Source organism: Homo sapiens, chromosome 1, assembly GCF_000001405.40.
Source record: "Homo sapiens chromosome 1, GRCh38.p14 Primary Assembly".
Taxonomy (NCBI): domain Eukaryota; kingdom Metazoa; phylum Chordata; class Mammalia; order Primates; family Hominidae; genus Homo; species Homo sapiens.
This window is the reverse complement of record NC_000001.11, coordinates 196,408,176-196,421,516: the sequence shown is the minus strand read 5'-3', so window position 1 is coordinate 196,421,516 and position 13,341 is coordinate 196,408,176. Positions and strand designations below refer to the sequence as shown.

At 34.0% G+C, this 13,341-nt stretch overlaps 1 protein-coding gene across 14 annotated transcripts in view; it reads left to right on the top strand.

Moving 5' to 3' along the window:
* The window catches only part of KCNT2 (potassium sodium-activated channel subfamily T member 2), a 382,662-nt gene that overhangs the window by 186,924 nt on the left and 182,397 nt on the right, over positions 1–13,341 (top strand). The window contains exon 1 of one of the 14 annotated variants that reach the window (XM_017001181.2): positions 13,206–13,322. The exons of the other annotated variants lie outside the window; for them this stretch is intronic. The gene's annotated coding sequence lies outside the window, so the exon portion shown is untranslated. Of the gene's footprint in view, positions 1–13,205; positions 13,323–13,341 lie in introns of those variants that run through there. 14 annotated transcript variants of the gene reach the window in all.

Below are 13,341 nucleotides of genomic sequence, written 5' to 3'. Positions count from 1 at the left end.
GGTACTCCAAACATGTTTATTGAAGAAATGAATTTGAACTGAAGATAATCAAGTGTTTCTATATTTGGTTGACTTATGTAATTGTGAGTGTTGTGCCCCCTCGAGTGGTAATTTGGCTTTAAATTACTTTCAGTTTTTCAGTATGTGTACTATCTTTGTGTAGCAAAAGAGGTGTAAGCATTAGGAAATAAATACATAATACCTTCTAGAGTACCCTTTGTAATGTGAATTTGGAAGGTTTTAGTTAATCAAATGCATTCTCTTTTTTTTCCTGACACTACTAAATTGGAAGAAATGAGTAAGAAGATTTATACCTATAGGGACAACAGATTTGGTAGATGAGACAATACTAATTTTATATTAATAATAATTTTGCAAGCTACAAAGCAGATAGATGAGTGTCAACAGTGAAGGAAGTTAAAATTTAAGTTGAGACAGGAAACAAATTAGAAGCAAGCTGCGTTTTGCAACCGAACCTCAACAGTCTCAGAAAATAGAGGTACCAGATGTCTCTGAATGTAGGGTTATATGTATGACTAAATACATGAATACTGGTTAGAAGTCTATAAGAAAAGTAGGTTCTTTGAACCCCTGTACATATCCATTGCTGGTTACTTTCCTAATCCTGGTAAAAGAGTTTGCTATTTGGAGAATTTGATCCAGGGATACTCTACTCAGAAACACCAGCTACAGTTAAGAGTCTAGGCACCATGCTAAAATTAAGGGAATTAAGAGTAATCATATCACTGAACGTGATATGATTTTCCCAAATGACTCTGAGAAGCATTACAGCCTGGTCCATATCTCTATTGACATTGACACAAGATTGGAGGAGTTTCCTCATGGGAAATGGTTCAACACAAGATAAAATGCATTATATCATTCAATCAAAAGTGTGTGTGCCTGTGTGTGTCTGTGTGTCTGTGTGTGCAGAGATATGAAACCTGGTGTTCCCCAGTGCAATATTAAACATTGATCACTCTAAAATGAAATCTATGTGAGAAAAGCTCTCTGCCTCCACTCAACTCCTAACCTCTTTTGAGTGCTTAACTCCTGCTTGTATTCAGACACCAGACAGCAGACATAGGGATTTGAGGACATTTCTAACAAGAACAAGAAGGAATAAGCAAACAAACAAACAAAAACCATACACAAAAAGAGAAACTCAGAGGAATCAAACAATACCATATAGTTCTGGAAATAGAAATCAATCTTAAAGTATATATTTAATAAATATTCCTAGTAACATGAGAATATGGTACATACATAAAATAAGAATAGTAGACTAGATCACAAAACAAAACAAGACACTCAGTGAACCTGAAAGAGCTCCTGGAAATTAAATCTAGCATAACAAATGAATAATTTAATAAAAAGCCTAGAAGGTAAACCTAAGAACATTGAAGAATGAAGAATAATAAAATGAACAATAAAACCAAATAGTGTAAAAGAAGAATTAAAAAGTTGAGAAAATTATGGTAGTTAGAGAGAAGCAATATCAATATAGTAGGAATTTAAGAAAGGGATTTTATAAAACACTAGGGTAGAATATTATGAAAGACATAATACGCCCAAATTTTCCACACAAAAATTGTCAAATTGAGAGGGCCCACTCATTATACAATAAGGACTAGAAAAGATCTGTGCTGGTCAGGGAGAAGGAAACAAAAGAAGAAGCCAAAGGAAAAAGGAAAAGGCATATGAGGAAGAGGAACAATAGGAGAAAAAGAAGAAAATATTCAAAACTAAGGGTGGAAAATTGGAATGTCTTCAGATGTCTCATCAGTAATGGCAGAAGACAGTGGGACAATGCTTTCAAAATTCTGAAGGGAAATATTTTTTCACTTAGAATTTTGTATCCTGGCAAAAGTTTGGTCTAGTAAGAAAGTAGAACCAACCCAAATGTCCTTGGAACCAACCCAAATGTCCAACAATGATAGACTGGATTAAGAAAATGTGGCACATATACACCATGGAATACTATGCAACCATAAAGAATGATGAGTTCATGTCCTTTGTAGGGACATGGATGCAGCTGGAAACCATCATTCTCAGCAAACTATCGCAAGGACAAAAAACCAAACACCGCATGTTCTTACTCATAGGTGAGAATTGAGCAATGAGAACACATGGACACAGGAAGGGGAACATCACATTCTGGGGACTGTTGTGGGGTGGGGGGAGGGGGGAGGGGGGAGGGATAGCATTAGGAGATATACCTAATGCTAAATGATGAGTTAATGGGTGCAGCACACCAGCATGGCACATGTATACATATGTAACTAACCTGCACATTGTGCACATGTACCCTAAAACTTAAAGTATAATAATAATAAAATAAATAAAAAAAATTAAAAATTAAAAAAAAGAAAGTAGAAAGAAGTTATTTATATAAACTAAAGATTTTAAAGAATGCACAACTCTCTGGAAGCTGCTGGAAGATGTGTTTACCAAAAACAAGGAGTGAGTGAAGGAGAAGTAGCCTCAGGGGATCCAGCACAGAGGAGAGAATGGAATGGACCCTAAACAGCAGGCTCTCAGTGCCAGCAGTCAGACCATTGTGAGGAGTGGAGAACTTCAGGAAGGCCACCTCTGGGGAGGAGACCAAGCTGGCGTTACCTGATGTGGTTGAGTGTATTGAGAAGAGCTTTCCACTTCTGGGCAGGGGTTTTGGATTGCATTTTGTCTCCCCTTTTATTTTCACTTGTTGGAGCCCTAACTCCTAGTTCTTCACAATTTTACTGTATTTGGATATAGGGCTTTTAAATAGGTAATTAAGTTAAAATGAAGCCATTAGGGTGGGCTCTAATCTAATATGGCTGATGTCCTTGTAAGAGGAGAATAAGATGATAGGATATACAGAGATACCAGGGGTGGGTGTGCATATAAAGTAACCAGGTAAAGAGGCCAATGTCACAGGCCTCAGAGGAAACCAACTCTGCTGGGACCTTGTCCTAGAAATTCCAGTTGCCAGAACTGTGAGAAAATAAATGTCTTCTGTTTAAGTCATCAAACCTGAGTTGTTTTTGTTGTTGTTGTTGTTGTTCTTGAGACTTGAGTTTTGCTTTTCTTGCCCCGGCTGGAGTTGAATGACACAATCTCAGCTCACTGCAACCTCCGCCTTCTGGGTACCATGCCTGGCTAATTATTTATTTGTTTATTTATTTGTTTGTTGTCTATTTATTTTTATTTTTTGTGTTTTTAGTAGAGATGGAGTTTCTCCATGTTGGTCAGGCTGGTCTTGAACTTCCGACCACAGGTGATCTGCCCGCCTTGGCCTCCCAAAGCGCTGGGATTACAGGTGTGAGCCACCGTGCCCAGCCAAATCTGGGGTATTTTTTTATGGTAGCCCAAGCAGACAGATTCTGAATTAGCAATGAGTGGTTAGAAAACTAACAAATGTCAAAAGAGACAATTAGAACGGAAAACAGATCATTCAAGATTGGAAATATAATTATAGCACTCAACATGCTGTTCTATGAAAAACAGCCATAATAATGTGAACACTGAAGATTGATTTAACAAAAATTATCGAACTACAGTCATGCACCACATAACATTTCAGTGACACACTGAATATACAATGGTCGTCCCATAGGATTATAATGGAGCTGAAAAATTCCTATTGCCTAGTGACATCATAGCTGTTGTAACTTAGCAGTGCAGAGCTTATGTGTTTGTGATGATGTCGACTAAGATCAATAGGTTATACCCTATAGCCTAGTACATACTAGGCTGTACCATTTAGGTTTGTGTAAGTACAGTCTATGCCCAATGACAAAATCGTCTAATGATGGATTTCTCAGAATATATCCCCATCGCTAAGTGAATCATGACTTGTATATTCAAAGGATGGGAAAAGGGAAATTCAGAATGAGGGATGAGAAGAAAGTTATACTCTTTTGTTCCATAATAGAAAGCTAGTAGATTATAATTTAAATTGAAAAGCAGGAAATAGTAATAAAATCATAGTTAGAAATATGGAAGGAGGTTAAGAGAATACCCAGTTTTAGGGCTGTAAAGGGACTGCCTCTGCGGAGTGGAAATATGTGTGAGAGTAGGAAGGAGAGAGAAGGCTGCACTTATATGTTATGGAACTTGTCTTTTTGGACTATGTACATGTATAGGTTTGATAGCATTTTTAATTAAGTGTGAGTTAGAATATGTCTTGGTCTAGGAAAAAATCATTGATTTGAAAAATGTGCCATTAGTTGTGAGGAGGTAAGCAGGTTTCTTGTCATGTCAGCTTCACATAACCCTTGAGATGTCAGTATAAACATGGGTAAATTTGCAGTTGAACTGCCTGTGTTTTTTATATATGTACTTTTTGTCTTTCAATAAAAATTTATTTACAAGAAAAAGTGGCAGGCTGGATTTGGTCTCCAGGCCCTCATAGTTTGCTGACCTCTGCTATAGATCATATTGTTTTAAAAAAAATTTCTGTGGGTATGTAATAGATGCATTTACTTACGTTAAGTGAAATAAGTCAGACACAGGAAGGCAAACATTGCATGGGGTCTAAAAATCAAAGCAATTGAACTAATGGACATAGAGAGTAGAAGGATGGTAACCAGAGGCTGGGAAGGGTAGTGGGGGAGTGGTGACGGGGAGATTGGGATGGTTAATGGGTACAAAATAAAATAGAATGAATAAGACCTACTATTTCATAGCACAACAGAGTGACTATAGTCAATAATAACTCAATTGTACATTTAAAAATAACTAAGAGTATAATTGGATTATGTGTAACACAAAGGATAAATGATTGAGGGGATGGATACTTATATATTTTTTAATTCAACTTTCATCTAAACTTCTGATTAAATTATTCTGTCTTACTTTTACTTATGAATCAGGAGAAGAAATAAGGCATGCCAAGTGAAGCTTCATAAAACAGGTAGAACTCAACAGCTGTTGGAAAAACAGTTGGAAAAACTGTTTAGTGAAACAAGTAGCATATATAGCCGTGAAAAGTTTGGTAGAGTAGCAAGGGGTCAATAGGTACAGTAGTATCCCCCTTATCCACGGGGAATACTTTCCAACATCCCCAGCTGATGCCTATAATTGCCGATAGTACCAAACCCTATATATACTATGCACTAATTTCTTTTTTCTTCTTCACAATTTCATGGATAGAGTATTCGGTCTTACTATAGATCTTGGCAACCTCAGCTAAGATATTTTTCTTTCCTTATTAACTTGAGAACTTTCATCTTTTCACTTCAAGGAGGCACTTGATGCCTTCTTTTTGGCATATCCAAATTGGCAGCATTGCTACTCTTGCACTTTGGGCCACTAAGTAAAATAAGGGCCACTTGAACACAAGCACTGCAATACTTCAAGAGCCAATGTGATAACTGAGACAGCTACTAAGTGACTAATGGATGGGAAGCATATATAGTGTGAATATACTGGACAAAAGGATAATTCATGTCCTGGGTGGGACAGGGTGGGATGGAGTGAGATTTTATGCTACTTAGAATGGCATATAACTTAAAACTTATAAATTGTTTTTTTCTAGAATTTTCCTTTTAATATTATTGGGTCAAAGTTAATCTTGGGTAACTGAAACTGTGGGAAGGCAAAACTGTGGATGGGGGCACTATTATATAAGGAAAGCAAGTAAATTCTTAAAAACCTAGCAGGGAAGTCAGTGTCAGAATTGGGACATCTTGAAGAAAGGGACAACAAGAGTGTCATTGAGTCCTGGTAACTGGGTGGAGTTTTAGGTCTTGATAGAAAGGGTAAGGAAGAAAAACTCATGTTCATGAGTGGTACAGTATCTCTGCTCCTTTGGCAAAGACTGGAATCTCTTTTAATTGTTTTATGTTTGGATGTACAGGGACTCATGGAAGTGTCTACAGCCCTTGGAGAGACAGAAACTTTGAGGGACTTGGTTATAAAATAGAAAGCAGACTATTCCTAATATGCTCTTATCCGGACATAACAATAGGCTGTATCATTCACCTCTTTTTTAAACCATTTATTTATATATATATATATTTATATATAGGTGAGTACAATGATTCAAATAAAGATGTAGACAAATTATGCATTATGCTAAATAGCTAACAATGTTAGCATACAGGACACCACGTTGCTTGGTAATTAACATTCTCCCATGTAATATATTGTTTCTTAGGAAGGATCTGGCATAGTTGCTGATGCAAACACTACATTATGTCTTACACAGAGGTTGATTAAACAGTTCTCTCAAAGGACACTCCTCCTCCTCCAGCATTTGATGTAAACTCAATCAGGATAGTAGAAATCTTTGCTCTTTGATTCCCCAAAAGTTAATAAATGCATGTTTTCTCCAGTTTTCAAAATGTCGAGGTCTGCTTGTTTTGTTTGTATCATTTTGTAGGGACTGTATGGTGAATACATGAGAGCTTGGTCCAGATCATTTCTTTTAGTTGCCTCTCCCCAAGTAAGTTGTTCTTGAAGAGAATAAGCAATTCCTCCTTTGTGATTAAACAGTCCTGCTACAATTTAATCATTTCACATGCAGTAAACTTTTCTTGGATATTAATTTGGAAGAAAATGAACTGTTTTGACATTTGCCCTTAATATGATCAAGCCAGTGTCACTGTCATTTTATGTGCTTCCAGTACACAGCCAGTGTCTTGGGAGGGCCAGAAGACCTGGAATCATGGTATGTTCTTACATGATGTAAAATACTCCAACTTGTCTAAAGACTGTCAGATGTCCCTTTTCTTAAACTCACTCACACTAAATAGTTGAACCATATGGAAAAATCATGGAGAATTACATGGGGGAAATTCTCTTTCCATCTTACAAGGTATAACAATCAAAGCTAATTCCTAGGCTACATACTCTTCAACATGGTTCAAAATTGTATTTAAACCACTGGTAAGTAGTGAGAATAAGCAGGCATATTTTACATTTTATCAAGACAGTTAAGTAGAACAACAACAAACAACAACAACAACAAAAACTTTTACTTCGTTTGAAAAAGTAATACAAAATATCAGGTCAATTACATGGAATCTTGGAGAAATATTTGTTAGGTTGATAAGATTAAACAAAATTCTTTTTCTTCCCATAGCCTCAATTCCAAGAATAACAATGTGAAATTAATTAGTGAAATGCTTATGATTTCTTAAGGAAGACATATTTAGAATAAATTTTAAAATGGTTATTTCTGGATAGAGCATTTCCAAAAATTACTTTTAATTGATTAATCTTGCAGTATTTTCTGACTATTAAAAAATACTGCAAGTCTTAGAATTGTAATGTACAGAGTATAATGTAGTTTTTTATAGTATTTTGAATTAGAATAATCTGTTACGTGTGAAAATATATTTTTAAAATCTGTATAATTGAATTGTTAATATTAGGCATAACTTTGAAGTGATTTTCCTCAATATTGTTCTAAATCAATCTGATGCATTATGAAACTTTTTTTTATATATATGATGTTCCTTGGTATGGTACAGCTTTTGAAAAACATTGATTGCACACTATTTGTTAAAAGTACATATTGAATTATTATTGCTGAATTTATAAAATTAACTGAATAAGTTATTTTGTTGTCTTAATGACAATGTAATAACTAGGCAAACACTGACAATCCTAGAATTGGTCTGTGTATATTTTTCTGATTGGAGGGGGGCATTTCTGAATAACATTAAAATGCAAAATTAATAAGCATTACAAATACTCTCCTGTGGAATTAGCAATATTTTACAAAAAATAAATGTGTGTCTATATAAAATTTTGTATTCTTTATTAGAAAAACAGTAGGTAATCATGAATTTGAAAGTGCCATAGCACTTTTTTCTGTGAATGGCCAAAATTATTTAGGAAAATTATTAAGTGTAATTTCATTGTGATCAAAATGCTTTCTGACTATTCTAGATTAATGTTATTTTAAAACAATAAAGCACATGACATACGCTTTTTAAAGAAGATGCCCAGAATTTTTTTTATACGATGGTAACATTTGAAGATTTGTAATATCATAATGCTAGTTATCTGCAAAAATCTTGCAATTTTTTAGGATTGTAGTTTTAGTCAACATTTCTACTATTGGTATACATATTTTAGCTCATTTTTCTTCAAGTCCAATTAATAAAAAATGGAAAAAAAGGATCCAAACATTTGACATTTAATAAGTCACTTTCATGTGATCAAGCATTTTGTGCATTTTATGTCATTAACCACAATTTGTTCATAGATGAGAAAACCAAGTCTCAGAGATGTTCAACAGATTTCCGAGAGTGACAGAGTCTAAATTTTACCCAGTTTAGTCCAAATCCCAAACCTCTGCCTTTACAACAAACTTGTCCCCATGTTGATAACAGCTTAGCTTACTATTCAAATGGCATACACATTTGAAAATAAAAGTGGTACTACTGTTTAAATATTATAATAATAATGACATGTATACATGGTTTCTGGTATCAGCTTTCTGTTCTACTCCTTTCCATCCTAGTTTATCCCTTAAAAGAATATATTAACTTTGTATCCATTAAATTATTAATCTATTTTATATCCTGGCACTGTAAGAAAATGACATTTTCTGACCTCTTTTTTCCTTTGGCTTTCAATCTCAATTTTACATTTCCCAATTTTCATTTTTGAAGTTACATTTGTGCATTTGAAGACTGATACTATTTACCTTTTGTTCTCTAAACAAAATGAGGATGTCTGCCATTATTTATTGATTAAGTGTCGAACCCAATAAACTTTTAGAATTGCATGACTATGAACATATTGTTTATTGAAGACCCAGTGATCAATTTGATTACATTTTCTTTTTCCTTTTTCGTGTTGCTTTACTCAAAATTTCCAAAATCAGCTATATATTTTATGTGTTGATTACCATACTGTACATTTGTGTGTGCTGGGGGGTAGGGGGCTGCTAACTGTTATTTGTAGAGCTTCTATTTACCACTCACTATTCTATTGTCTTGTCATATGTTTACAGGCCTTAGTCTATCTAGCTTCAAATTTCTAGGAGGCTAACTGATGTAATCTGTTGCAACCCACTCCGAATTGCACATAGTATTTTATACAAGGAAGGAAAAGTACCCTAGTATAACATTATTTCCATTTTTAAAAATGATTCTTTCTTTTCCTGTATTCATTCAAAAAATATTTATTGAGTATTCTGTACCCCAAACATGGACATACCAGCTGAACACACAGTTATTAACAAAACAGTAAAACATTTCCATTCTCATGGAGCTTATCTACTAGTAGAAGTGACACTAAGTCCTAAGTGCCATCTTACGTACTAGTAAGAATTGACATTAAATAAATGTGTACAATGTTAGTGAAAATTATTAAAAAGAGAACACTGGGGAGAGATCATATGAAATGTTAGGAAAGGCAGGCATTGTAAATTGAATCACTAATTAAAAATTGTTTAAGATTAACCTAAGATAATCATTAAGCTCATTATTTATAGAACACATCAGCACAACAGCATATTAGAGAGCTCGTACATCATTATCAAGTATAATTTATCCTTGGAATGCAAAAATGGTTCAACATGCTAAAATAAATAACTGTGATAAACACATTAGCAGAATAAAGAACTTAAAAATATATTCCCATCTCAATATACTCAGAAAAATCATGTAACAAAATTTTCCATAGGAGCATATCTATAGTTAAAAACATAGCATATACAGGGATTGGTAATATCCACAATTTCAGGCATCCACTGAAGGTCTTGGAATATATCCCCCACCCCTGTGGATAAGGGAGAACTATTTTATGTAGAAAACTATAAAGATTCCAGAAAAAAGTGTTAGAACTAATAAATCAATTTAGTAAAAGTATTTGCATTCCTATGCACTAACAATGAACCATTTGAAAAGGAAATTCAGAAAATAACTCTTTTACCATAGCCCTCAAAAAGAATAAAATACTTAGAATTAAACTTAATCAAGGAGGTGAAAGACTGGTACACTGAAAACTACAAAACATTGTTACAAGAAATTGAAGGAGACATAAATAAATGGAAAATGGAAAGACATCCTGTGTTCACTATTTCCATCAGAATCTCACTGGCCGTTTTTTTTTTTTTTTTTTTTTTTAACTGGAATAGTTAAAAACAATCCTGAAATTATTATAGCACCACAAAAGATCCAGAATAGCCAAAGCAATCCTAAGAACAAAGAAGAAAGCAGGAGGTATCAAACTTTGTGATTTAAAAATATATTTCAAAGCTATAGTTATTAAAACCACATGGTACCAGCATAAATACACGCATATAGACTAATAAAGAGCCTAAAAATAAACCTATGCACATATAGTCAACTGATCTTTGACGAGGTTGTCAAGAAAACACAATGTGGAAAGGATAGTCTCTTCAACAGAAGGAAAAAAAGAAGGAAGGAAGGGAGGTAGGAAAGAAGGGAGGAAGGAAGGAAGGAAGGAAGGAAGGAAGGAAGGAAGGAAGGAAGGAAGGAAGGAAGGAAGGAGGGAATAGAGGAGGGAGGGAGGGAGGAAGGTGGGAAGGGAGGGAGGGAGGGAGCAATGAGGAAGGAAGGAAAGAAGGAGGGGAGTAAGGGAAAGGAAGGAAGAGAGGGAGGAAAGGAGAGAAGGAGAAAAGAAAGAAAGAAGGAAAGGAAGGAAAAGAAAGAAAAGAAAGAGAAGACATTGGGATCTTACATCCTACACAAAAATCAGCTTAAAGACTTTAACTTAGATCTGAAATGGTAAAATTGAAACAGAGGAAAAGCTTGACTTTGGTCTTGGCATTGATTTCTTGGTTATAACACCAAGGTACAAGCAACAAAATAAGAAATAGACAAGTTTTTTTTTTTTTTTAAGCACTGAGCACAGATTTTATTGCGTAGTAAGCACCCAGTGAAAGTTAGCGACTACTACTAATGGTAATAAAAATGATATTTTTCGTTTGTGCTGCAGGGTGAGCTAGAGATCTGTATAATTTTATTTATTTATTTATTTTTATTATACTTTAAGTTTTAGGGTACATGTGCACAACGTGCAGGTTAGTTACATATGTGTATGTGTGCTATGTTTGTGTGCTGTGCCTATTAACTTGTCATTTAACATTAGGTATATCTCCTAATGCTATCCCTCCCACCTGCCCTCACCCCACAACAGGCCCCAGTGTGTGATGTTCCCCTTCCTGTGTCCATGTGTTCTCATTATTAAAACAAACAAGTGGTATTATATCAAACTAAAAAAAAAAAGCAATAAACTTATGCATAGCAAAGGACAAAATCAAAGTGAAAAGACAACCTGAAGAATGGGAGAAAATATTTGCAAACCATATGTCTAATAAGGGATTAATTTCAAAACTATATAAGGAATTTCTATAGCTTAATAGCAAAAAACAAAACCAAACACACACACACACGAAAGGAAATAAGCTGATTAAAAAATGGGCAAATGACTTGAATGGAAATATCTCCAAAGAAGACATACAAGTGGCCAACAAGTATCACGTTTGAACAGATGATCAGCATCATTAATTATCAGGGAAATGCAAATCGAAAACAGCAGAGATATCACCTTATATCTCTTAGGATTGTTATTATCAAAATCAAGATAAAAAGAGTTGATGGTGATGTGGAGAAATTCAAAACCTTGTGCACTGGTTGTGGATATATAAAATAGTGAAGCAGCTATGAAAAACAATATGGCGGTTTTTCAAAAACCTAAAATAGAATTGCCATATGACTCAGAAATCCCACTTCCTGTTATACATCCAAAGGCATTGAAATCAACATGCGAAAGAGATGTCTGTACTCCTATGTTCATTGCAGTATTATTCACAATAGGCAAGAAATCAAAATAAACAGTGTCCATTAACAGATGAATAGATAAGGAAATTTGGTTTATACTGCCAATAGACCTACATTATAAAAAAGTTGAAGAAAGTTCTTTAGCAAATAGAAATGATGTGTTGTGACACTCTGGATTCACATGAAAAAATTCAGAAAGCCAGAAATGATAAATATGTTGGTAAATATATATAATTTGAAATTTTAAAAATATTATTTACTGTTTAAAACAAAAATAATGACAATTATTGTGGGATTTATAACAAGTAAAATGAGTGACATTCTAGCATAATGACTGAAAAAAACAAAATATACTGCAGTGAGATTCTTTATGTATTATTTGAAAGATGGGTGTAATAAATGCTGGTGTATGTTGTAAACCTTAGGGTGGCCGTTAATAAAGATTTTGAAAACCTGTATGATTAAATGGAACAATAAATATATTTAATGCAAAAGGCGGCAATAAAAGGGAACAAAGAATAGATGGGATAAATAGAAAAATAAGAAGATGAAAATGATACACTGCACAAATACTAATCATATATAAGTGGAAGTGGCTATATGAAGCAAAGAATCATGGACAAGAACTCATACCAAAGATGAAGAGGAATATTTTGTATTGAGTAAAGGATCAATGCATTAAAAAAAAAAAAACTCCTAAATGTGTGTGTGTGCTTCATATAAAAAAAAACCCTCAATATACATGAAGTATAAAATGGCATAACTGAAAGGAGGAGTAAAAAGCTACAGTTAGTCTTATAATTTTCAACACTTCTGTCTTAGCAATCTGTATAAAAATGCAGGGGATCAGTAGATTAATAACAAACTTGAACACACTATCACCAGCTTGATCTAATTGACATATGGAATATTACACTAAAAAATGGAATTCCAGTTTTCAAGTACACATGAAACATTCACAGAGATACATCATATTCTGGACCAGAAAAGATATAGCAGAGAATTTAAAACCTACAGAATATGTTATCTGATTATAATTGAATTAAATGAGGCATCAATAATAAAACCACAGCTGAAAAATACCCAAATATTTGGAAATAAAACAAAACATCCATAAGTAACCCATGGGTAAAAGATAAAATAAGAAAAATTATGATGAAAATGCAACGCATTAAATTGTATGGAATGCAGCTTTACCAGCATCTGAAGAGAAATTTATATCTTTAAATCTTTATATTAGAAAGGTTTAAAATTTAATAGCAAAGAGGAATTGGAGACAATAATTATGGACTTTGAAAGTGTTTTCTGTACATGAGTGCAATGAAATCAGGCAGTAACTGATGGGTAATGTTTGATCAATGCAAGCTTTGTTTCCTTCTTTTCCTTTTCTTATTTTTTTTAGTGGGAAAGATTTTGGCCAGTAAATATGATAAATATCTACCAAAGATGGCAAAATTGATCATGAAAGAAAATAATAGGATGTGATCTTATGCAGGAGTGGAAGGTTTTTCTTGGATAAGGGTGTAAAACTTTCGTCCATTTTAACAAAAGGGAAAACAGTATATATAGAAGGTATGTTTGTGGCCCCATG